The sequence below is a fragment of the Homo sapiens genome, chromosome 3 (assembly GCF_000001405.40).
Source record: "Homo sapiens chromosome 3, GRCh38.p14 Primary Assembly".
NCBI lineage: Eukaryota > Metazoa > Chordata > Mammalia > Primates > Hominidae > Homo > Homo sapiens.
This window is the reverse complement of record NC_000003.12, coordinates 151,891,357-151,918,992: the sequence shown is the minus strand read 5'-3', so window position 1 is coordinate 151,918,992 and position 27,636 is coordinate 151,891,357. Positions and strand designations below refer to the sequence as shown.

The window sequence follows — 27,636 nt, the reverse complement described above, 5'->3', positions numbered from 1 at the left end:
GGCAGCATCCGAAAGCGACAAGGAGGGGCCAAGGCAGCAACACGGTGGGCCACCCACCCAGTCTAGCAAAGAGCCAGCAGGCAGGGCTGGCCCAGCAAGCTTTCTGCTCTACTCAGGTGTTCTCCTGTGAGGTAGAAAGGGAAGCAGAGAAACAGCACTTACAAAGATGTTGAAGCTTACATTCTCTGAATATTTATATAATTTTCAGCTGCTTAATTTAGAAGAAGAAGTAACTGTCATACTATCTTCCTACGCAAACCCTGACCAGCTGAGAGTCCATGTATAAGCTACAGTTACATTTTTAAAAAAAGAAGAGAAACAATTTTACAAATCTGTATTAGTGCATATATTTCAACACAACAACATAAATCTACCTGATCCATTTCATTATTTGCTTATTTAGAAACTATTTCAGAATAAAAGATTATTATTTCAGATTCCCTTGTCAGATAGCCTGGAAAATGTGAAGACTGCTTAGGGTTTTGAAACATTCACTTTGAAGTCGTCAGAAATGTTGCAGTGACAATTTTAAAACCACTTGAGGGCAGTAAAAGCACATTTCTTAACTGTACATTGCAGATGATTTAACCATAACCTCCAAAATTAAAGACTTGGCCAGAATACCTTATCTGCATTTCTAACTTTGTCTAGAGTTATGCCCCCACCCCCATCTGCCAGGTTTATATTCCTAGTTTCTCAAATTTAAGTAGAACAAGAACAAAAATTTAAAGCACACATTCTGTTTTTGGTTTCTTTCATAAGCAATATTTTTGCTGTGGCTTATAATTGATGTATTTCAGAGACATGGCTCAATTAAGTCACAAGTTCAACTTCTTTACCTCAAATGTATGTATATTTCAACATCAATTCATATATGTGAGCATGAATGTTTGTGTGTGGATATGTGTGTGTTTACCCGGAGAGATTTGAGTATATAAATAAAAATAGTCGTTATCATTATAGTGAATAAGAAGAACTCTTTTGGGCACATTTATAAAGGTACTTTACTCTTTCCCATCACAGCCCTGCAAATCCACTGTCTTGGCATCTTCTTCATCACCACCTTGAAAAAAATCTTGGGCAAGTCCCATAAATTCTCAGAAATTAAAAGAAGAAAGGTTTCCTAGTTACCTTTCCCCCCTAAATTGTTTCATTTCAGTAATTAAATCACCTATCTCTGTGTAATACTTAAAATTGCTAACTTCACCTAAAGTTAAACTTCTTCCCTTTATTTTGTCTGCTTCCCACCAGAAGTCTGCAGTGGGGAGAAGTGGTGAGGTGGTCACACACATTCTGGTCCATGTCCCTACCAAGTTTCTACTCTTCTTCCCACAAGGCTGCCTCTGACTTGAGGGTTCAAGAGAAGAAGAGGAAAGAGGTAAAGAGCAGAAGGTGTTTTCTTTCACCAATACCTCTGCAATCTGACATTCATTTGGTGGGTTGGGGGGCACTGCGGCAGTAGTTCAAATCTGCCCATTTCTCTTGTGGTCATTTTTGAGGGCTTTTGTGAGCTGTGTGACTGCACAACCAGGTCAGGGCCAACTTCATGGGTGTGAGCCCTATGTAGAATCTCAGGACCACAGGCTTAGAGGGGTCCCAGGCTTGGTTTAATGCTCTGTTGTTGCCTCTGCATTTTTAAAATAATTTTTGATCAAGAGACCCTGCATTTTCATTTTTCACTGGGCCCCAGAAATTATACAGCTGGTTTTGACTGAGCCCCTTCAACAGCAGCTTTACTGCAGGACAGTGCTTCTTTTTCAGCTGATAATTTATAATCTCCCTCTGCCTCTCGGGTCAGATTTTGCCCCTAGCAGGAACCCCCTTGGACAGGGTCCCATGAATAAAGATCACACACCAATGTCTGTCCTTAGGTTTTTTGCTCCAGAAAAGCAAACACTTGTTGGGAGCATGGCTATTATAAAACTCTCTCTGCTAGAGTCAGAAGTCATCTCAGCCAACTCTCTCCAGTCACTTTCTTCTCAGACATGAATCAGGTAATTTGATTGTGTTCCTAAGCAACACCAGACCCATGTAGGCTCTCCACTTAGTCTTTGAAGTGGAGTTTAGTCCTCTCACTGGGCTTGAGTGAGGTGGAGCATCATATCTTCCTCCTCCAGATAACTGTCAAAAACCAATTCTTTCCCTAACTCCCTGGCATCTTCAAACTTAACTCTTTTGTACCCATAAGGTGGGTGAGAAGCTAATGGTCAAAACGTCAATTTTGGGCCCCTCCTATTTTAGGTCTGTACAGGGAGTTTAGCCTCACTTTGGAAGTTGCAAGTTCTTGCTCTCTTTGTTTTGTTCTCAGCCTTTAGGAAACTCTATAGAAACGGAGACAGAAAGAGTCTCAATATAATGCCCAATGACATCATTTATAGGGAAAACTTTTACTCGGCATTAGATATTTTGAAATTTAAATATTTATTTGAAGAACATTTTAAATATCCTCAATTCCCTTAATACATTAATATCTTCATTAGTAGAAGGGATCAATTCAACAAATATTTTGAGCATCTCCTTTGTGCAGGAATCAGTAATAAGTTGAGCTAATATGCAAATTAGCAAGAGAGCCTCCACATTCTTGAGGAGTTCACAGTTAGAAACTGAAAACACAAAGACAATTTCCTAAAGATGAGTAATAATAAAGTCGTGTACAAATGCAATAAGATCACAGGAAAGAGAGCAAATACAACTCTGGAAAAAAGAGAACATTTCACCAGAACTAAAATTAGATTTGGATTATAAAAAGATAGGAAGATGGTGGGCAGAATGTGGAGAATAATTTCGAAGCTAGAGGCAGTAATTTGTTCAAAGGCTATTGCGATAATCCAGGTAATATTATGAGGGCCTAAACTAAATCAGGGTCTCTTGGGGAAAAAGAAAAGAAGCATAAGTAGGTGGTAGAAATGAGAGAAATTATTGGCTTATTAAATGAGGAAGAAAAAGGAGCTGAAAAATAATTCTAGGAAAAAACAATCTCAAAATACCATCTTGCAGAAGATGGAGTATTAAATATAAAAATAATAGAGTATTAGAATGTATCATTTTTGTATATAAGTACATGTTAATTCATTTTAATTCAATTATGAAACAGTAGAAGTATGCTTTTTAAGATTGAGCATTTGTTTTATATAATATAGCCAATGTTGGATGTGGTAACTAGCCTGCTCTTTGCAAAATCTTATTGCTTAAATTTCCAGGAACATCATGTAGACAGGTAAGTCGATTTTAGCAAAATCCAACAAAGAAACTACTTTATGTCCAAAACTGCAATATAGTTTGTGCAAAAGTAATTTAATTAAGTTCAGAAAATGTTTACTGTATGCTGTGTGAGTTGCTGGTGGGAAAGTAAATGATGCAACTACTTTGGATGACTTTGGGAAGTTTTCAGTAAAGAGAAACATATACTTATCCTATTTCAGGAGAAATGAGAACACATCTGCTAAAAGATCAGAGTGTTTACTGAAGCTTTATTCACAATAACCAAAAACTAGATTGGATAATAAACCAGATCATGAACAATGCATTGTTTTGTTAGCATACAATGTGTATTAGTCCGTTCTCACGTTGCTATAAAAAACTACCTGAGACTGGGTAATTTATGAAGAGAAGAGGTTTGATTGACTCACAGTTCCACAGGCTTAACAGGAAGCATGATTGGGAGGCCTCAGGAAACTTACAATCATGACAGAAGGCAAAGGGGAAGCAAGCACCTTCTTCCCATGGCAGCAAGACAGTGAGAGAGCAAGTGGAGAACTGCCACACACTTTAAAACCATCAGATCTCATGAGAACTCACTATCATGAGAACATCATGAGGGAAACCGCCCTCATGATCCAGTTACCTCACACCAGGTTCCTCCACCTGACACATGGGGATGACAATTAGAGATGAGATTTGGGTGGGGACACAGAGCCAAACAATACCACAATGGATCACTATATAACAACAAAAGTGAACAAACTTGTTACGTGTAACAACATGGACACGAACATCATAGATATTATGTTGTGTGAATGACATTTAGGCACAAAAGAGTAAAGACTATATAACAGAACCTTCAATATGAGGTTCAAGAACAAGTAACACTAATAAATGATGTATTGATTTTCTATTGCTGTAGTAACAAATTAAATGTAGTGATTTTAAACAAAACAGTTTTATAGTCTCACAGTTTAAAGGGACTAGAAGTCTGGCAACAGCTTACCTGGGTCCTCTGCTTAGGATCTCACACAAGTGCAATCAATATATCAGCCAGGATATTTTCTCTTATTCAGGCTTGATTAGGACAGAATCCTCTTCCAAACTCATTCAGAGTGTTGGCAGAATTCATTTCCTTTGGTTGTAGAAATGAGGGCCCTGGCTTCTTGTTGGCTAGTGGCTAGTGGCCACCATCAGTTCTTAGATCCTGCTCACGTTTTTTTTTTTTTTTTTTTCATGACGGAGTCTGGCTCTGTCGACCAGGCTGGAGTGCAGCGGCGCGACCTCGGCTCACTGCAACCTCCGCCTCCCGGGTCCAAGCGATTCTCCTGCCTCAGCCTCCCAAGTAGCTGGAATTACAGGCACGTGCCACCAGGCCCGGCTAATTTTTGTATTCTTAGTAGAGATGGGGTTTCATCGTGTTGGCCAGGCTGGTCTCGAACTCTTGACCTCATGATCCACCCACCTCGGCCTCCCAAAGTGCTGGGATTACAGGCATGAGCTACTGCACTCGGCCCCTGCTCACAGTTTTTAAGTGCTATCTGCATTTCCTTCCCAAGCTGGCTTTTTCACTTTGGCCACCTACTTCATCAAGCTAGTAAAGAAAGACTTTAGAATAAGCCTGCTATCAAGACAGTTTTATATAGCATATTGTACTGGAGAAGAAGTCTCCTCACCTTTGCCATATTAGGTTAAAAAGCAGTCACATGTTGCTCCTATACTTCAGTAGAGGTTATTACACAAATTTGAATACAAGAAAGTGGCGATCATGGGTGGCCACCTTAGAATCTGCCTGAAACAGATGATGAGGAGAGAATAAGATTAAGAGTTCCCTCTTTTTAGGGGTTGTGTATAGAATTGGAAGGGGCATCAGGGAACTGGAATGGTAGAAGTAGTTCATATCTTTCTCTGAGAAGTGGTTAGGGATTATATACATATTTAAAAAAATAATAGTACACATGTACACACTGCTATATGTAAAGTCATACGTCATTAAAAATAATAAAAATTGACTATTTACTAGTAGTGCTTTTGGTACTATTAGAATTATAAGAGAAACTGTAATGATGATTGTTAATCATAATATACTACTAAAGATATATGGTATGTAGGTGGAGAGATAGATGGATAGATAATTGGTAGGCAGGTAGAGAGAGTGAGTAAGACAGAGAGAGAGAGAGAGAGCTCAATCTATCTGTCTACAAATTCTGATAGAACCTGAGTTCTGTGCTGTCACCACTTTTTTGAAATGTTCACCTAGATGCCTCAAATTCCATGTAGCCTGTTGAACATATTATGGAGCACCCAGGATTGCACTTCATCCTGTTTTACCCCTGCTGGCTAATGGCTTCACCATCTACTCAACCATACAAGCTGGAACCAAGGAAAACTTCTTTATTTGCCTATTATCAGACTCTCTATCCACACACTTCCACTCCTTTTACCCATCCAAGAAGTCTCCAAGCTTTATTCATTGCAAAAACTAAGTATTTCTGGGCTCTGCTATCATCAGTTGGCCAAGCAGGAAGCTCACAGTTGAACATATACTAAAGGGCAATCATAAAATAGAACAACAATGAAAAAATAAGAGCATGTTGTATAGAAAATGTACAGAGAGAATACTTCGGCATTTGTTTACAGGCAAATAAATCTGAGTGAAAAAGACAGTAGATGATTATCTCTGAAACTAGGAAATGCAGTCTGTTTCATAGATCTAACCTATCTTAAAGTGGCTAGATGCAGATTAGCAAAATAATTTATCAATAACATGATTAAATAATCAGAGTGGGCTGGGTGCAGTGGCTCACGCCTGAAATCCCAGCACTTTGGGAGGCCGAGGCGGGAGGATCATGAGGTCAGGAGTTCAAGATCAGCCTGGCCAATATGGTGAAACCCTGTCTCTACTAAAAATACAAAAATTAGCCCGGCGTTGTGGCACGCGCCTGTAGTCCTAGCTCCTCAGGAGGCTGAGGCAGGAGAATTGCTTGAACCTGGGAGGTGGAGGTCGCCATGAGCCGAGATTGTGCCACTGCACTCCAGCCTGAGTGACTGAGTGAGGTTCCACCTCAAAAAAAATTAATAATAATAATAGTCAGAGTGGGTGGCAAACTTCTTGGATTTTCTAGCAAAGGCTATCAAACTAGAACTTCCTGGGAATCTTCCTTCAAAACTATTCTGAAAGCTTACTCCCAATCCACCAGAACAGGAGCATTTATTTGAAATGAATTTTAGCAATATGAGCAGTCCGTAGGAGACATAATGGAGAGGTATATACTTGTTATTAAAACATCACGATTAACCAGTTTCTTGGATATTAATTTTTCCTCTTTATTGGTGATTTATTCTTAGTCCTAGATCCAAGTATCCCATTTGTAGAAATACTTCTGGCTCTTTATTTGACTAATCCATACCTTCCCCTTCATCCTCCTCACCACTTTATAACAGAGGATACATAATTTCCCTTGGTTAATCCTGTGTTAGAGTCAGGATTTGACCTAAGTTTGACTTCAAATTCGGGACTCATATATTCCAACTAGTTATTACAGTGAGTCAGACCTTTCATAAAATAATCACTCCTTTCCTTTCCAGACTCATCTGTCATCATTAGTCTACATGTCTCACTCCTCCCCTCCAAATTGAAGTACTGAGATAATTCAGAATTTTCAAAAATTACCATGGATATTTATTCAGAATGAGCCAAACTGTTAGGTTTGAGGGCACAGTCCACATACTGCCATGTATGCACAAGACTTCTGACACAGTTTTAAAGGAGCTAGAGTCCAACTAGAGTCCAACTACAGAGTTAGTGTGAAGAGTCCATACAAGACCACCCTCACTTCTGACACCAAATACAAGTTTGGAGGTTCTCCAAACCACTCTAAGTTTTGAAAAGTTACTAGAAGTTTTCACAAAACTCACTGAAAGCTATGATGTTAATGGTTTATTACAGGGAAAGGGGACAGATAAAAATCAAGCAAAGGAAGAGGTGCATAGGGCAGTGTCTGGAAGAATTCCAAACATCAAGTTTTTGTTTTACTCAACATGCATATTTCATTATCAGTTTTTGATAGCATGCATGGAATACTGCCAACCAGGGAAGCTCACCAGAGCTCTGCTGCCCAGAGTTTTTATTGGGGCTTCATTCTGCAGGCATGCTTGTCAATTGCCTATGTAGTTGATCTCAGTCTCTGGGTTGACTGATACCATGAGCCCAAAGTCCCTATCCTAAATCACATGATTGGTCCTAACGTAGCCAGCTTCTGCTGTAAGACTATGGAAATCAACTTCTATCCTCAAGAAAAACACTCCTATCAGCTACAACAGATTATCTCCCAAAAGCCAGACCTGATTTAGGGCAAGGCCAAATTCTTTACTACACATTAATCCTGCTTGTTTGTTTTTGGACATAGAATATTATTCTGTTTGTATATCTGGGAAATATTGTTCCTTTGTGATTCAGTTCAAGTGACAGCTACATCATGAGGCATTCCCTGTAAAACCTTTCTACCTCTTTCCCATATACAGTTAAATCTCCCTTTTTCTCTGCTCTCTTTAGTGTCTTTTCAATACCTCTGCTATAGCTGGTATAGCACATTTTATAATAACTTTTACTTCTTCCCTCTCTATAATGTGATCCACTAGTAGTCAGGGACTTAACGAGTATTTATCTACTCATCACCAATGTCTGAAACCATTGCTTACACAGAACCAGTGCTCATGAATAGCATGCCAGGCAGAATGGAAACGTGAGATGGCACAAAGAACTCTTGCTGCCACCATGATGTTGGGTGAATATCCAGATTCCTTCTACATGAGAAGCCAACTTTTTTCTCATGATGCATTTCTCATTGTTGTCCTGCATGCAGTGGGTTGATCCAGTGGGCTTCAACTCTTCTGCTTGGAGAATAAGGTCTTTAGAGGAGCATTCATGACATCTCGGTGTTATGATAGTATGTTTCTCACCTTTACTCAAAGTAGAGGATACACTGGAACTACTCTTAAGGAGAGGACAACACCTTCTTTCTCCTCTTCCTTGCTAATGGAGAAGAAAATGGGAACTCTTATTGCCCTCATTTGGACCATTGAGTCATGAGTTTTATGTAAATTTTGGGAGTTTGTGGGTAGGGAGTCAGGGGAGTGGGGTTGCAGAGCTTCTTCTGTGAAGCTTCCTGATTGACAAATGGTTTTTAAGAACTGCTTGATAGCTCCACTCCTCGTCTCTGGGTCTCTGGCTCCACCATATATGCAAGATGAAAACCCAGTTGATATACTTTCAGACATGGGATTCCATTTTACCTATCAAGTATTTTATGCTTATTTGAAACTAAATTCTACAGGCTTTGTAACAGGGCATCTTTAATGTTTTTCTATATAATTGCTGTGATAAATCAACATAAAAGATGGTAGACAAACCCCTTATAGCTTCTCCTGCAACTTAGGAGAAGCAGCCTACAAACAGCCATGGAGGGGCATAAGGCTCTGGTAATTCCATTAAGAGTCAAAGAGGAAATCTAGTAGCAACACTCTTAGTGACATTGGATGCCCTGACTTGAAAACCTATTGTATTTTCTGCCTCCTAGGAGAGTTCCCATGTGATTAATAAACTTGTTAAGTCTCTTTGGCATGGACCTCCTATGGAATGATAGGAACTTTTGATCTCCACCAAGTTTATACTTGGTGGAGATTAATTGATAAAAATATTTCCAGATTGACTAAAAATAAAATAAAATTGCTTTGGTTGGAAAGAAAACAAGTGGAAAATTTCAGGTTGGAATTATCTGGGCATAGAAATTATAAACTGATTCATAACTTGGAGAAAGTTGTCCAGATTTTGTCTCTCTGATTCTAAACACAGGAAAGTCAATGCATACTGATTATAGAGTGTAATGGCTGAGTCATTCCCAGATACGCTGATTTGCTGGATAATATTTTTCTCTGAGAAAATAGTCACATTTTGTGTGAACATTAGCTGCTGTATCCTACAATATGATTGATTCTGGCATGTTTCCTCCCTAGAGGAAATTATTATGCTTCATTCTCAGCACAATGGAGCAGTATTTCTGGCCAAGACCAACTGCTTCCATAACTAATGCCTTGGGCATGATGACACTATATCATATACCATTAATTGGTGATCATTTATTTCACGCTCTGAATAAGGTTCTCCTACTTTTGGGGAAGATGTAGATACAGTTTGCTAGAATGCTTACCTTTCTCGCTCCACTCTGATCCATACCTCCAAATCTGCCTCAAAGGCCCTATTATCAGTCCTTCATTTCCACCTAGAAGGAGGCTAGATTTCAAGTTGCTTAATTCTCAGTTGCTGTTAGTAGAATCTCTGGTGGAAGCACTAGATTATCAATCATGTCTCTGTCCACCCCAACTGTGTGAGGCTCTTTCAGTTATCATCCCAAATAGATTTTACTACTTCACTAAAGAGGGTATCAGTGTCTGAGGATGATACCTGCCTAACAGAGCATTTGCCTTCTCTGGTTTAACCTTGGCCAGCAACAACTCTCATAGCCAGTGAACCTTGTAGTACTGTCCCACCCAATTTAGAACAGTTAGGACATAAATAAGAAGTAAGAGTGTTGTTACTGGTCAACTCTTAAAATGGTCTTTCAAACACATACACCTTAAATTTATTCATGTAGCCCACCTCTTCGATAAAAAGTCTACTTTGTGAATAAGAGGTTGAGCTTTTAGTCAAGGACTAGCAAATGCCAGAGTTTCCATTCTCCAATTATTAAATTTTTAAAAGTATATTACCACTCTTTCAACTTCTGAGCCACCATCAATGTGTGATGTGCAATGGTTATTAAAGTCAGCAGAATTTAAATTGAGATGTTTGATTAAGACAAACATGCTTAATCTCACTAAATATTAGAGTCACCTGGGGAAGCCTTAAAAGGAAAATCGATTACTTGAATTGGAATTTCTGAATTAAAAAAAAAATACCTCACCAGGTTGTTCTAATAGTCAGCTAAGGGGGAGAACACCTGGTTGAGGGTTTAGACTACCTACTCCAAGCTTCCCTGGAGGTGATAGGGTCACTCGTCTCTCTCCCACAGCCACTATGGGCATCTTTGAACACATGGGAGGGAGCTTTGTGCTAACCAAATGCTTACAAGTCAAATGAATGAGGATCCAGGTGTAATCTTTCACTGACAGCATGAAACACCAGCTAAACTTTCAGAGCATCTTTACTTCTCTAAATCTCCTGAAAGGAGGCCAGCAGATAAGGACAACAGTTGCTCTGATGAGAAACTATATCTACTGTAAAGTTAGCAGACGAATAGGCGCAGGCACAACAGAACAGAACCCTACTTCTTAGGGAACATATTCAATTCTGACTCATTGAGATAGTCTGTCACTCTAAGGATTTAGTTTTTTTTTTTTCTCCAAAGTCTTCCCAAATACAATCACATTATCTAAATATTCTAACACTTGTAAATCAGTCACTGGTAGTAAATGGTATCTGGAGAAACCCCAATCCATTGTTTTAGGATAGGAAAAAATTATTCTGAACAAATGAATACTAAATTCTTCATACCTGTTCTGGCCTCCTAATAGCCATTCTTTGAAACTAACAATAACTACTGTCTCTACTAGAAAGCCCAGGGCATACTAACAACAAGGTATATCGGTCGGACTTAGGCCATTTGTTTAGTATATAATAGTCAATATCTATTTTATTTCTAGATTTTTCAGTAGTCATTTGGACTCCAAAAGTCAGTTCTGTGATGATTACAAGGTCTTTCGTATGGTATCATGATTTTTTAACCATACTTTATAAATGATCTAGTGTCTTATAATTGTATTTAATACTATTCTTTTTTCCAACAACCCATCCCAGTCTTAGAGGCTGTTGCATCCCTGTCAGGTAGATCCCTATTTTGTCTCCTTCTAATGCACAATTCTAAGGAGTTATTGAAGTCAAAATTGTCTAAACTCAGCTTTCAGGCTGCTCCCATTTGAAATTACTAGCTGGGACATGTTGGAAATTACACCTTTGGGTAAGTCTTCTGATATCTGCCAGTCTCCACAATCATGTGGATAAGTGTGGTCATATTCAGTTATTAGAAAAACTTCACTGAAAATTCTAATTCAAAGCCTTTTCTGCCTTAAGATTATACCCTCCTTTCTCTTCTGCTCTCAGATTCCTCTAAGGTCAGATTCATGTTGCTGTAGTCCCTGGTCTTTGACGTCATGTAGGTAACAAGTCTCCTTACAGTGGCCTGCATGGGCAACACGTATGAGTTCCTTGGAGGACCTGTAGGAAGTCTCCTTGATGCAGAGTTATCTGGGTCTTGTGTTTTCAAGCAGACGTTTTTGAGCCACTCAGCAGCTCCAACTTGTGCTTCTATGATCATCTTACTTAGGTGATGGGTCTCTGAACTGAGGACTAGTAAAATGGTTCAAGCCTAATTCCCCTTGATCAATGAAAAACTTGCATGTCTTTGCCAGGCTAATAAAAGTTACATTGCTTTTGCTTCTTATATATTTGCTGATATGGAGTAATCTAGCAAGCTTTTAGTCTTCTCAGTCTTCCGGGTAAGAAACAGTTTGAGTCACTACATTTACATATACATTCAAACTTCCAGGAGTGTATGTCTGGTCCCCTAAGAAGTCTCTTATTTTGCTCTATCCTTTAGATTGACATCTTCTTTGCTCATTACGTAGCAGAAAATAAGGGATCATCCTCATTTAATCTTCAAGAACTTCCTTTGAGAAAGAAACTAATTAATTGCCCTATTATTGGTCTGGTATTAAACCCTCCTTCTATTCTATCTGCTGTGGCTAAAGAGATGGATTGTGTGGTAGCTTAGTCTGATCAGGCTGCTACAACAAAATACCTTAGAATAATTTATAAACAACAGAAATGTATTGCTCATAGTTGTGGAGTCTGGGAAGCTCAAAATTAAGATTCGGTGTCCAGTGAAGGCTCATTCTTTATAGATTATGCCAATGGCAGAAGAGGCTAGAGGCTTCCTCCACCTTCTTTTATAAGATTATCAATTTTATCCTAATCACTTCATAAAGGCCCTACTTCTTAATAGTACCACACTGAGTATTAGGTTGCAACATAAGAATTTTGAAAGAAAATCTACATTCAGGACATAGCATGTGATCCTTGTTCATTTAGGAGTTTATCTGGGAGCAGAATCTCTAATTACAGGGCATGGGCAGATTTGTTAAGGTTGAGTGAGGCAGAGTGGAAAAGAGTGGTTTTATGTCCACTGTACTTCCAAAGTCTAATTCTTCAAAATACAGACATCCAGGGTAGAAGAGAAAAAACAAGAAATTTAGATACCTAAAGGGATTAGATTTTTAATAAGACCTGGTTATTATAAATTATTTACCAGCCTTACTAACTCATCTAACAAGACAAGTAAAATTAGTGTAAAGATACTGATTAGATTTTCTAAAGTGATAAAAATTAAATGAAAGATGGAAGTTTCTTACAGTAATTAACATTTACCATCAGTTAAAAAAAATCCTGATACTAGATGAAAGGATTTTGTTTTATATTTTAAAGATCTATATTTGTAGTGAAAAATAGACCCTATACTCTTTTAATAGGTTTTTGGATTTTACCTAATATGCTCTATGTGAGTCTCTGTTACTTACAACCAATGACCCCAGACTAAAATATGAAGCATTGTAGCCTTAAGTAGATCTTCAGACAACCACATCTTTTTATTTTACTAATCAATATGTAACAGCAGTGAGGGAATACTTGGATTAATGAGACCAGTTTCCAGAGGGTTAAAGATGAACATCTTAAGATGCAAATGTAGGAAAAACACAAGGTTTATGTGTTAATCATCCCAACAGCAAATAAAATAAAAACTGTGCATTGACCCACGCTGGACTTAGGAACATTCTAAAGAAGTTAGTAATATGAGGGGCATGTCTCACTTTCAGTCATGTATTATTGCTATTATATGTCAATATCTATTTTTTTATAGCCCATATAATTCTTTGCATGTATTATCTTCTTTATGAAACTATGAAGCTCTAAGGATGTGGTTCCTAATTCCTCTCCATATCGTCTCATCAATCAGCATGAAGTCTTTATTTAGTATGTGTTTAATAGATTATTTGTTGAGTGAGTCAAAAGGCTAGGGGAATAGGATTAACTTGACACCTATGGAAGATTCTAGCATTCAGGGATATCATATTTAAAAACAAAGGGGAGATTCCTTAAAAGAATAGACTCCCTGAGATAGCATCTTATAGGTAGAGTAGTGGTCGTCAGCTAGAACCAGTTTAATCCCAGGGGAAATTTGGCAATATCTGGAGACATTTTTCGTTGTCACAGCTGGAGTAGGGGGTGCTCTTAGCATGTAGTGGGTAGAGGCCAGGGATGCTGCTAGATATACAACAATGCCCAGAATATCCTCCAGCCCACCAATAAAGAATTATGTGACCTACAGTGTCAATAGTACCAGGGTGACAAATACTGAGCTACAGTTGTTTGTGCTCAGACCTTTTCTTGCTGAGTGAAGCAGGAAGAAAACCTCTGGACTTCAGTTGTTAACACCAACAGCTGGGGCCGGAGGCTTCTATTTGTCCTGCTATAGAAATCTTCCTCTTATTTCTTTTAGTTATAGAACATACTGAGTTTTAGCTGGGGCCTTGGCTACCAGTTAGAGACTATATGTCTCATTTTCACTTGCAGTCAGGATTGATGGTGGGACTAAATTCTAGCAAATGGAAAGGAGTGGAATGGACATGTGCTTCATGTGGTTAAAAGAGGAGGCCTTTTGCACTCTCTCTTCTCTCCTTCCTGAAACTGATAATGTGGATGTGGAGGGTGTATTAGGCCATTCTTGCATTGCAATAATGAAATACCTGAGACTGGGAAATTTATAAAGAAAAGAGGTTTCAAAAGGCAGAAGGCAGGAAAATAAAAGCAAACAAACACCCACACTCCCCGTCACCACCACCAAAAAAAGAAAAAAAAAAAAAAGAGATTTAATTCGCTCACGATTCTGCAGGCTTTACAGGAAGCATGGTGCTGGCATCTGCACAACTTCTAGGGAAGCCTTAGGAAGCTGACAATGATGGTGGAAGGTGAAGGGGGAGCAGGCACATCACATGGTAAAAGCAGGACCAAGAGGGAGAGTAGGGTTGGGGGAGGTGCCACACACCTTTCAATGACCAGATCTCTGGAGAACTCACTCACTACAGCAAAGACAGCACCAAGCCTGGAGGGATCCACTCTCATGATCCAAACAACGTCCACTAGGCCCCATCTCCAGCATTAGGGTTTACAATTCAACATAAGATTTGGGCAGGGACAAGTATCCGAACTGTATCAAAGGATGTAAATAATATTTGTCCTTTTAGATGTGGATACAATTGCATAGGCTGGTGAAGCCATCGGATAGAAGCATGAACTAAAAAAAATCTATAAATCACAATATCTATAAATTTGGAAAGGAGACTATTTCTTATAAAGGGTTACAGCTTGCAAGGTGGCCATTCTGACAGGCTGGAAAGCATAGCCCCTGGCAGAGGCCATTGGCAGGCACTTGGAGGGAGGGAAGGATGAAATAGGAATTTATACAGAATGCCTTGATCAAGTCTATCCAACAGGTTATAGCTCTGAATATTCATGAAGGGGGTCTTAACACATGCAAACTGAACAAACATATATGTTACATTTGTCCCATATTCACTTTGGGGTAGAGACTTAACATTTAAATGCATGACAATTAGGCCCTATATGTCAAAATGTGAAGCGGGGACATGAAGGCATTCAGTGCAAAGCCTCGGTAAATAAGCCAGAACCTGTCCATGTGGGTGGTCTCTTATCAGGAGAAAGTTACTGAAATCAGTCTCTGGTCTAATCAAAGCTATAGTTCTGGCTTGTGGAACAGGGGAATCAGTGAGTCAGTGCCTGGAAGTGGATGAGCTGCAATTGTTTCAATACTGTTTATCTCAAGGCCAGTGCTTATTTAGCTGCTAGAGAAAAAGAAAATCCTCGTGGCAGTGAGTACATAGTTTATTCTTTAAGTGTAGGGGTGCATGATGTAACTTTTGCCTGCAGTGGCCTTAGGTCTTGTTTATAACTTGGTGTCTTTTTGTCAGAAAGAGCCCATTCTGCCTGTCTTATCATCTCTATTTTTACATTAATGCTGCTCACTTGTATGTCTAAACCACAAAAGGAAGGGGCTATAAATAGGCATATCCAACCGCCTGTCCAGTTATGGCCAGGAACTCAGTTTTTAAGGTTTCTCTGGAGTCCCCTTGGCTGAGAGTGAGCCCAATCAGTTGGTTAGGGGTTAGGGGGTGGGTGTAGGATTTTATTTTTAGTTCTCAGAAGGAAGCTGTGTCCCTGAATGACCTTGTTGTGTGTCAGAAACCATACCCCAAAGTATGGTGCTTTGACATGCTGAATTGAAGAAGCCTCAAGGTCTCTCTGACCTTCCCCCACCATTGTCTCCCCAAATCTTTTATCTGCCTAAGTAAGATCCAGACCCACCAAAAGGAACAATTTTCTCCCCTGTTCTCTGTAAGACCAAGAATGTAGCCACGCTTGAACAGACCCTTTCATAAGATAATGTGCAATGTCTGCTCCCTGATTCATTCATTCTCCCTAGAAATATTCTCAATCTCATTCCTCTTCTCCTGCCTTCCATAACTTGATTTGCCAGGACAGTATATAAGCTTCTGAAATAGATGGCGGCATGGATAGTCACTCTGTGGTTCTCCCTGTGTACACGTTAATAACATTTGTTTGCCTTTTCTCCAATTATTCTGCCTTTTTGTGAGTTGATTTTTCAGTGAACCTTCAGAGGGCAAAGGAGATTTCCCTTCTCCCTTACCCCCTCATGGAGCAGAGTTACCTACCTGTAGTGCCCTGCCTGTTTCTTGCTGGACTGTAGTGTAAGAAACAAACTCCTTTGAACCACAGTATTGTTTGAACCCTTTGTGACCGCAACTGAGCTTCAATCCTAACTAATACAAACCAGATACAGTTTTTGTTGTTCTGGATGATGACTGGAAATACATAGCACTACAGGAGATAGACAGCTACTCTCACTTCGTTTAGAATGCTGTAAGTAAGAGTAATAAAAACTGATCAATACATGGGGATAACAGACAAAAGGAAGTAGACCACACCTCAAAAGAGACCATATTATCTATGCACTGTAGCCTTTGTAGCCATCAGCTAACCATAGATCACACAAACTATATACTGGACATGGTAGGATTTGAAGTTACTATAAGTTTTCAGTTGTGACATTTAGAATATGCATTTTTTTCTTTTTCTGTGTTGACATTGCTTTTCATTTGTTTGTTTATAAGCTTAGGGGTTGTGATTAGGATAAATGACCATCTAGTAGAAAAAGGTATTCCCCATTTTCTGGGAGAATGTTTAGGAAAGAAATGGACATTTGACTCTTATTATAAGCATTAGAGATCTTAAGAATAATGCAGATGTCTTATTTAATAGTGTGAGGAAAATTTGGGGAAACTATACTTTTTTGAGCAGCTACCAAGTACCTGACACTCTGTGTTTCTTGTGGGATAAAACCTGGAGGAGATAATAACTGTTTTGTTCTTTCTACACTTTTAGGTTGTTGCTCAGATCTCCACCCATCAAGTTAAATAGCTTTTATCCTCTCCAGGGAGGGCAAATGCGGCTGAGAAAGAGGAAATCAATTGAGTTCCTAGGAAATCTGTTAAATCTTGTGAGCCAGGCATTTTGAAAGCCAAGTCTTATAAGAGCCAAGCTTTTTGAGAACACAAAGGATTTTTGAGCTACAAAAGGCTAAGCCTCTGGAGATGGCTGAAGATGGAGTCCTGAGGATAAAGTTAGGGGAAAAAAATGCATGCTGAGATAAGAGTATTTTCCCACACCAATGGCGATGAGGTTTAATAAGTGAGAGGGAAGAGCATTAGCAGAGGCGAAGAGGATAGAGTTTAGAAAGTGACAGTAACTGAGAGGGCACATTGTGTCCTACCCTCACTCCCAGCCAAGCTCTGGATAGTGTAAAATGCAGAGGCCAGATAGATTTGGCAGAGGTCTTGAAACAAAGGATACAAGTTTTCTATGAAGCCTGAGGGAGCACAAGCCTGAAGGTAAATCTCAGTATAAAGTCAACCAAAGTCATCATTGTCTAGCAATTGAAGAGTAGAGTCAGAGATGTTTAATCAGAGATGGAGAGTACAACCTATTTCAAGTTTCTCACAATGTTGCACTAGCACAGAATTTCAGAAAGTTTTCTGTGTCCTTGAGAGAGGCACAAGAGAGCTGATTAGTGGTTTGGACAGACTTTATAGGTAAAATAAACAGGATGTAGAGTGGCCTGCTTAGTCACGACAGAGGAAAAGTAGAGGGGGATGTGGATGCTGTGGCAGTGGGTGCAGGCAGGCTGGAGGCTGAACACATAGCATTAGACCTCCACTATAGGACCCAGAGAAAGTGAGAAAAAGAAAGAGAAGCACCTGCTTCTCAGTGTATACTGATGGAAATTGAACCCCCTCTCCCAAAATCATTTATGTCATCTCCTAGAGGAAAAAAGGTGAAGGGAATGAAAACAGTCTGGAATTGGCTACTTACTCATCAGAAACAGAGAAAATCTCATAAGCAGCTGAGTTTAGTTTTAATTGTTCAGATTATATTCAGGACCTTTAGTAGAAATTGGAGAGCAGGAGGAAGGGTGGAGAAGTAGAGAGTAAGGTTACTGATGATGATGAAATTGTAAAATGTCCACTTTTGCACCACTGACTGTGATTGAAAATTCAAACTCTACCTGGATGATCTAATCAGAATATCAAAGATTCCCTACATCATACACACCTGTAACATGGCTTGCAGTTTGTAAGTTTGCTTAGAGCAAACTTATCTTTGGAAGTGAAAGATGTCCTGGGTAAAAGGAGAGAGACTGAAGTTGATTTTAATGTTTGTATTATAGAATCTGCATGCTAGATACACTGAACCTCTTTTAAGTGCAAGAAAGCCAATTCTGGCTGTGATATCTCTAATCATAAGTGTTGTCAAAACAGAGTGTGTGGGAGAGTTGAGCTGAGCCATCAACCCAAATGAACTCCTGACTTAAAAAACAAAAAATAGATGATCTTAATCTTTTTGCAAAGCCCAGCCCAGGCTAAACATCCTGAGGTTGGGATAAATTACGAAAGTTTGGGGATATAGCAACGGGAGGAAAGAGAGCCTTTTGCATAAATACACAGTGAACTCCAGTGGAGGGAGGTGAGAAAACTTTCAATTACCCACAAAATCTTAGCCAGTCATGGGAGAGGTTTTAGATAAATGAACTCTAAACAAAGACAATAGATCCCAAATTCTAACAGTTAGAAATGGATTAAAATAAATGTTCTTTAAAGGGGAAATTGAGGGACAAATGTGATAGAATAAATTTGGGGGATGATATCTGAAGTTTGCTACCATCTTCCCAAAAGGTCTTGATGCTCATCATGTAGTGTGGGCATGAATTGCCTCAAGAGAGGAATTGATAAAGTTGGAAAAAAAAAGTCAATTCATTCATATATATAAATAATGAAAGTGAAAGTTTATTAGAGCAAGAGCCAGAGTTATGAGAAATAAAAGATATTTACATAACACATGTCTAAATGCAAAGATCACCAAACTTTGAGTTTAACAACTGAAGAGGAAGAACACATGATGATTTAAGGGTAGTTTACTCAGTCAAAAGAGAGGAGTTTTACCAGAGGCAAGGAAGAGGAGCCTCACACAGCATAGGACTGGACCTTCAAGGTTTGTGTGCCTGGAAATGGGAGCTTTCAGCCTCCCTCATCACATGCATGGATCCCAAAACTGTGCAGTAAATAAAGCAGAAAATAATTGGTGCCTCTGGAATGGTATAAACTACATATTCTATCTGGATGGCCAAGCTCATGAAAATGGCCAACACCTATGTAGAGAGTCAGGTAGAAAGCTGAGTAAAAACAATGTAACATCCATGAGGAAAGTTTAGTCATGAAGTTTTTACATGTAGAAAAGAAATGCAGAGAAGGCTGGGCTCAGTGGCTTATCCTGTAATCCCAGCACTTTGGGAGGCCAAGGCAAGTGGATCTTTTGAGGTCAAGACTTTGACACCAGCTTGGCCAACATGGTGAGACCCCGTCTCTACTAAAAATACAAACATTAGCCAGGCATGGTGGTGCGCACTTGTAATCCCAGCCACTCAAGAGACTGAGGTAGGAGAATCTCTCGAACCTGGGAGGCGGAGGTTGCAGTGAGCTGAGATCGCGCCACTGTACTTCAGCCTGGGAGACAGAGTGAGACTCCATCTCAAAAAAAAAAAGAAAAAAAAAAAAGAAAAATAATACAGAGAACAAAAAGACAGTGGTGTTCCCTCTACCACAATTTGCTGAAAATTAAAGACTCGCCTAATTTTACTAGGTTTTTAAGAATTATAGTTGCCAGATGAGTTCTTCCTGCCTTCTGCACAGACAAAATAAATTCTCTGGGACCACGGCATGGTACTAATAGTAAAGAAAGAGTTTAGTTGATGCGCGGCCAGCCACGCCTCGGCTCACTGCAGGAGGCAGAGTTATTACTCAAATCAATCTCCCTGAAGGCTCAGAGGGTAGGTGTTTTCAAGGATAGTTTGGTGGGCAGGGGACTAGGGAATGAGGAATGTTGACTGATTGGGGATGAAATCATAGGGGTATGGAAAACAGTCCTTGTGTGCTGAGTCCACAGGATTGGTTGAGTCAAGAGCCAGGAGTCTGGGTGGCGTCAGTCTGAGAGACATCTCAAAAAACCAGCTTTAGGTTCCAAAACAGTGATCTTATCTGTAGGAGTAATTGGGGAAGTCACAAATCTTGTAACCTGTGGACGCATGACTCCTGAGCATTAGGGATTATAGAAACTATGCCCACATTTCAACAGAGTTCAGGCCTCTCTCAGAATCCTAACCTTGTGGCCTTTCATTTGTTTTACAAAGGTGATTTAGTTTTGGGAAGGACTATTGTCATCCTTGCTTTAAGGTTAAACTGTAAACTAAATTTTTCCCAAAGTCAGCTTGGTCTATGCCCAGGAATGACCAAGGATAGCTTGGTGGTTAGAAGCAAGATGGAGTCAACTATGTCAGATTTCTCTTACTGTCATAAGTCATCTATATCCCTACTTCACACCATTTTATTTCTCTCTTAAAAGCAGGTAGTGTTTGCCTTAGTATCCATATGAATCCTAAGGGCACAGGGCAAAGAAAAGAGACCTGAGTGCAGGAGCCAGGCTGTGGAGCGTGTGTGTGGGCCTGCATCTGGGTCTGGGTCTGAAGCTGGAGCTGGGGCTGGGTCTGAGGCTGGAACTGGGGCTTGTTCTGACGCTGGATCTGGGTCTTGGCCTGGGGCTGAGGCTGAGTGAGACATGATCCAGGCCTGAGTCTGGTCCTGGGTTTGGGCCTGGGCCTGGGACTTAGGCTGGGTGAGCCTGGGGCTGAGATGAGACTGAAGTTGGGACTTGGGCTGAGCTGGGCCTGGGGTGGTAAGTTTCCACTTGTAAGAGGAAGTCAGGGCTGCTGCTGAGCTCCAGAGGCCTTGACCCTCATCAAGTCAGCAGATATCAAGAGTCCTATCTATACTTTCTCTAATAAGGTCAGTGAACTATCAGTGACAGAGAATTCTGCTCCTTTCATATGCAGACTTTCCTTTAAATTCAGAAATCTTGATATCTGGATTAAAATAAAAGTTTATCAAGAGAAGAACAAAAGTGAAGGTACAGCTTCAGTTTGGGCAGAGTCTTAACAATTAGTTTGTATACAGAACACATTTAGGTTTTTTAGTTTTTTTGAACCTTGAAAACTTTCAGTTACTAGGTCTTACAAGTTTTAAAGTAATATTTTTAACTAAATATCCCTTTTGTTTGTTACCGATATTTTTGGAATCGAGGGATTATTTCTGTAACTTTTGTTTCTAAAACTTTGTGGATCTATGATTCTATAAAAGTAGCTAATAGTTTTTAGTTATCCATGTTAGAGGCTGGGTAACATACCTTAAGAACAACTCCTTCAATTCCAGCTCTGCCTTTAACTTGATTTTGAATGAATCAGTTAGCTCTCACAACCTCATTTTTGATATAATAGCGTTGCCTCAGGGAATTGTGAGCAGTCCATCAGCTAATAAGAACAATATAGGAAATAGATAAGCTATAAAATATTCAGAATTGTGTTCCCAGAAGACATGAGCTACTTTCAGCTGAGTTGCTTTCTGAGTTGAGTAAAAGTGGCTATGAGATTGTAAAATATCTCGTGCTAAGTTGTTGAAGTATAAGTTCCTATTCCAGTGTGGACTTATTTTGCTTCTTTGGTTTGGTCTTGGTAAAAGAAATAACCTTTATTTATTTATTTATTTTATTATTATTTTTTTTGAGACAGAGTCTCGCTCCGTCGCCCAGGCTAGAGTGCAGTGGCGTGACCTCGGCTCACTGCAAGCTCTGCCTCCCGGGTTCATGCCATTCTCCTGCCTCAGCCTCCCGAGTAGCTGGGATTACAGCCATGCCCGGTTAATTTTTTTTTTTTTTTTTGTATTTTCAGTGGAGACGAGGTTTCACCGTGTTAGCCAGGATGGTCTCGATCCCCTGACCTCGTGATCCGTCCGTCTCGGCCTCCCAAAGTGCTGGGATTATAGGCGTGAGCCACCGTGCCCGGCAGAAAATAACCATTATTAAGTTTACACGATGTGTCTAGCACTTGAGACTCATTTTCTCATTTAATCTTCACAACAACCTTCAAAGGAGAATTATTTTCCCTATTTAATATCTGAGGAATATGGGTTTGAAAGAGGTTTAATAACTTGCTCCCAGTTATGTAAATGTACTGGAGAGAGCCTCGATTTGATATAGGGCATGGTACTGCCCTTTGATCCTACAATAGGATGTTGCCTGATTTCTTCCAGTTCTCTGACTGCTGTGGTGCCTACATAGGTAACAGCAGATTGCTCTCTGAGTCATAACCACGTACCTATCTTCTGGTTTCTGATATTTCCTAGATTCCCCGACTCTTGGCTATTTTTCAGTATTGTGACTTGGCTCTTTCTGTCTTGAATTGAGCCTTATGCCTGTGAGTCACTGTCAATCATTCTCTTGGTATGGTGCCTAAAGCTAGAGTTTTTAATGCCTACAAAAATTGTTTTATTTTGACTTATGTAATGATAAATAAATTAAGATATATGATATATAAACCAAGAAAAATAAATATAGCATTCTTTCTTGATTTTCACGAGAGAGAGAGAGAGAGAGAGAGAGTGAGAGAGTGTGTGTGTGTGTGTGTGTTTGTGCTACTCAAGACAAATTACAAATCCTGAGGCAATTTCCTATTGTCTATGCTGCTGGCTCCACCAGTCTGTTTTTTTTTTTTTTAAGAATGCAAATTAATTTTAGTATTGGGGTAAGGCATTTTCAAGGAAGGGAAATGTGTTGTTAAAATGTCACATTATTTAATTTGCATTTGTATTTCACTTTGATTAGTATTGCCTGTGGCATTGCTTCATGTAGTAGCACAGATGGTAAAAATGTGTTTATATCTCCACATTTTTCAATATTCTTTATCAATTTTATTCCTATTCTTTGGCACTGTCAATAGAGACAGTTTTAATTATTGAGATTCTAAGATATGTATAAAAATGACCTGTTCAGTTGTTCTGAGTAAACAAATCCAGGAAATTCAAGGTCATGAGAAAGTCATTAGTTATGACCTTGAAGAGTTAATGCAGCAAAGAAAATCTGGAGGAAAGATATGTCAACAACAGGTCATTACTCACACCATTTTTGGTAAAAAAAAAAAAAAATTTACTGTAACTTCTGGACAGTAAATCTTTAAATTAACTTGACTAAGCATTGGCTATTAAAAACAGAGTGCTGAAGAATGATGAAAAGGAAAGATGACTTGAGAGATTTAATAAATATCATCAAGTCTTATGAACATAGCAGTAAAAAGGAACTTGACAGTCAGAGCTAGATTTATATATAATAAATTGTCTAAATGCTAACCTGTTACAAATTCTATGGTGTAGAGAAAGTAAAAGAAAAACTTATCTCCTGCCTGTAATCTCTCACCATCTTTGTTCTCCCTAAGGTTAGCGTTTTGAACTCTAACAAATGCAGATAACTCGCCCTAAGATACAGCACAAGTATCTGGTACAAAGTTGCTTAAAGGAGAAACTCAGCAGGGTAGTGTGAGTGAGCCTAAGTATGCTGATTTAACGGAGGAAGGGGAGAGAGGATGACATTGCCGAAATCTACATTCCTACTATGTTTCTCCTTCATTTATTAACTCTGTAATTCTTAGCAGGATATTTACCATCAAATTGCCTTGATGTTCTCATCTGTCAAATGAAGATAATAACACCTACCTCGTGAATTTGTTAAGAGGATACAAAGGTTTAATGTTTGTGGAGCTATTAGAACCATTAGATCCTGCAAGTAGTAAGCACTCAATAAAGGTTAGTTAATATTCCATGTGTAGCATTTTAAGTAGTGTAAATAGCTAAGGCAATTTGAATAGAAGATCAATGGCAATTTGAACAGAAATGAGAAGGCTTTTTTTTTTTTGAGGTAGAGTCTTGCTCTGTCTCCCAGGCTGCAGTGCAGGGGTGCCATCTAGACTCACTGCGATCTCCACCTCCTGGGTTCAAGCGATTCTCGTGTCTCAGCCTCCCAAGTCACTGAGACTACAGGCAAATGCCACCACGCCCGGCTAGTTTTTTGTATTTTTAGTAGAGATGGGGTTTCACCGTGTTAGCCAGGATGGTCTCGATCTCCTGACCTTGTGATCCGCCTGCCTTGGCCTCCCAAAGTGCTGAGATTACAGGCATAAGCCACCGTGCACGGCCTTTTTTTTTAAAAAAAAATAATGGTTCAAACTGACCTCAGGTGCATGAAAATTGGGAATTAATTTATGTACAAGCCTCTGTTGTGCTTCCAGCAGTACTTGCAGACATAGAATCTTCAAGCAGAAGGGAACCTAGAAGTCATTCAGGCCAGCCTAAGATTTGCACTCTCTTTACAGCACTTCCAACAATTCGGAACATAGACAGTGATGGGGAGTACATTACTTTTCAAGGTAGCTCATGCAATTTTCAGACAGTCATAGGAACACAAAGTTTGTTACTGTGTGGAGCTGAACATCACATCAATTCCCTTCTACCAACTGGCTAAGCTGTGACCTGTAAAGCAACACAGACTAAAGCTAATTCTTCTTTATTAAAATCTTTCAAACAGTTTTAAATGGTGTCTAAGTCCATTCAGGTTTCTATAACAAAGTACCATAGAGTTGGTGGCTTATGAACAACAGAAATGTATTTCTCACAGTTCTGGAGGCTGGGAAGTCCAAGATCAAGGTGCTAGGAGATTCCTTGTCTGCTGAGGGCCTACTTCCTGGTTCACAGGCAGCCATTTTCTCACTGTGTTGTCACATGATGGAAAGGATGATGGAACTCTCTGGGGCCTCTTTTATAAGGACACTAATCCCATCCCACCCTCATGACATAATCACTTCCCAAATGTTCCACATTCTAATACCATCACCTTGGAGATTAGATTTCAGCACATGAATTTTGAGAGGACATAACCTTTCAGTCTATTGCAGTAGCATCCATATTTACCCTTTTCCTCAATACATTGGGTGAAATTTCTCTTTCCTTGAACCTCTTTCATTTGTTGCTTGTATAAGAGCAGTGCTAAGATCTAAAAAAGCCTGGCCTTTGGAATCAGAATAAGTGTACATCAAATTTTCATGTGTGTAACTTGAACAGTTTATTAGATCCCTCAGACACTTCACTGCCTCATCTGGAGATGAGAGTGGTAACACTTAACTTTAAAGGTTGCTTTAGGGATTAAATATTTGAATATATTTACAACATCAGATGCAATATAGGTACTCAATAACAAGTGACTATCCTGATAATTATTGTTTTATATGAAATGTTTCTCCTGCCATTTTGGGCCTTCTTTGATAGAGGTGTTTAGTATTTATATCAAAAAGACACCTGCATGCATATGTTTATCACAGCGTATTGCACAGTTGCAAAGATGTGGAATCAGCCTAAGTGCCCATCAACTGATGAGTGAATAAAGAAAATGTGATTATATATGTATGTGTATATATATATATATATATGTATACTATAGAATACTACTCAGCCATGAAAATAATGAAATGTCTTTTGCAGAAACTTGGATGGAACTAGAGGCCATTATTCTAAGTGAAGTCACTCAGGAATCGAAAACCAAATACTGCATGACTCCCTTATAACTGGAAACTAAGCTATGGATACACAAAGGCATACAGAGTGTTATAATAAACATTGGGGACAGGGTAGGAAGAATGAAAAGCTACCTATTGGGTACAATGTACACTACTTGAATGATAAAAAATATTTTAAAAATATTTATTTTTACTGACAGAATATCTATAAAATGTTGAAATGAGATTTAGAGATAAACTTCTGCATATCCTGAAGTTACATAAAGTATCCCTTCACTGGGCTGCCATCATAACCTATGCTTGAAGGTTCACAGAGGTTGTGCAGTCCATGCCCAACTGAGGGGAGAGTGGGCCTGGAAACGGGTCACTGCTCTGCAAGCCAAGCCTTGCACCTATCATGCATGGGGTTACATTCTCCATAGGGTATGTTTTTACTAATTCTTACAAAGACATCATATGGGCTATAGAAGCTGTTCTTATGCCCCATCCAAGAATTTTTCATATTTTTTAAATTCTCTGTTTGTTTCTTTTACTTTTTGGATCACTTATTTGTTCCTTTTTTTTTTTTCTTCATGTGCTCCCCTAGTTCTAAGCACAATTCCTAAGCCATGGATAGATATTAGATAAATAAATGCACATGAATGTTTATTTGATTAAAAAAATAGATGATCCAGGTGAAACATGATGAGGGATTGAAATAAGAATACAAAAACTAAATTAGAGGCTAGACAAATAAGGGGATGTAGACATGAGGGAGAGGGAGCAAAAGAAATGGCATTTTTGTTCCTAAGAGAATGTGCAGAAGGTACAAAATGTGTTGAGGGAGACACTGAGCTCCCTCTTTTGAACCCATGAATTTATCTTCATATAGAGTTGCACAGAAAGGCAGGTGAAAATCTGTGCAGGTAGCATAGAAACCAATTCAAACTCAGAGATGTAAATCCATGTATGAGAATAAAATTTTCTGAGGGAAAAAAGAGTGAAAAGAAAATGGAGCTGAGAACGCTAATATTTAAGAGATGGCTGGAATTGGAATAAGGATGACAGAGCTGGCAGGGCATTCAAAGAAAGCTGGCAGGACAAAGTATGTAAAATTAATTATTGAAAAGTTTATCCAATTTTATTTTCTGTCTTTGATTAAGCCTTCCTTATGACAAAAAAAAAAAGGGCTCGTTTGAAAACGCTTGAATGGTTCCAGGTATGCTCCATTGTAAACTGAACAGTATTACATGTATGTATTACTTTTCTACTAACTACCAATTTTCTCATCTGAAAAGGCACAGTGACACAAAAATTGCTCCCTCATTGGTTTGCCTGCAAATGCCCACCTTCCACCTTTATGCTTCAGCTCTGTCTCTGTTGCTGCGCTCCCTCCATGCCAGCCCTAGTAGAATTAGTATCATCTCCAAATCGTCCCCTGCCATAATAAGCAAGAATTGCAACCTCTCTTCCTGTTCTTTTGCAACCTGGGCACATCTCTGTTTTTTCACCGACCACTTTATGTATGTGTATTTACACGCCTGATTTCCCTAAAAGACCGTGAGTTAATTAATGGAGGAAAATATTTGTTATTTATAGTTTAACCAACAGCAAAATTTCTGGCAAACACGGAGCATCCAAAGAATATTTGTTAAATAAGCAGAATTGTTACAGAAGTGGCAAGCTGCCAAGCAATTCTACTTATTTAAAATCATTTTATCTTGAATGTGTTTAGAACCAAAAAGACATCTCAGCAACTTAATTTACTTCTCACTACTCTTGGTTATAGACAAAGTCTAATGAGCAAATGTGACGTAGGAACTAAATGATTGTATGATTGATGTAGTGAGCCTTACTTTCTTTTAAAATGTACTAAATATGTGTATATTTCTGTCTATACATAATGCTCTGGTTTGAATATGTTTTCTAAATATCATGCTTTGGAGACTTAATCCCCAAATTCTTGATTGAAGGTGGCACCTTTGGGAAGTAGTCAGCATTAGATAAAGTCATCAAGGCAGAACCCCCACGATAGCACTGGCAGCTTCATAAGAAAAGGAAGAGAGATCCGAGCTGACATACGTGACACACATGCTCTTGCTCTCTTGCTTTGTGATGCCTTCTGCCGGGTTATGATGGAGCAAAAAGGCCCTCAACAGATGTTGGTGCCATGATTCTAGACTTCTTGGCCTTCAAAATCATGAACTAAATAAGCCTTCATTTTTTTAACTGACCCTGTCTCAGATGT

General features: G+C 39.2%; 2 long non-coding RNA genes across 3 annotated transcripts in view, besides 1 other annotated feature; one reads left to right on the top strand and one right to left on the bottom strand.

The window, feature by feature from the left end:
- Positions 1 to 27,636, top strand: part of AADACL2-AS1 (AADACL2 antisense RNA 1) — a 176,997-nt gene that overhangs the window by 9,183 nt on the left and 140,178 nt on the right. The window lies entirely within an intron of this gene.
- On the bottom strand, positions 16,194 to 24,775 carry LOC105374159 (uncharacterized). Its single transcript, XR_924584.3, has 3 exons — positions 24,513 to 24,775; positions 21,200 to 21,323; positions 16,194 to 16,268 (listed from the first exon to the last, which is right to left on the bottom strand). It is a non-coding gene; the product is annotated as an uncharacterized LOC105374159 (long non-coding RNA).
- Positions 22,326 to 22,526: a silencer, noted in NCBI's record as "peak4862 fragment used in MPRA reporter construct". NCBI's record gives its function as "represses an SCP1 promoter by STARR-seq MPRAs in K562 erythroleukemia cells {active_cell/tissue: K562}" and the evidence as "EXISTENCE:reporter gene assay evidence [ECO:0000049][PMID:32103011]".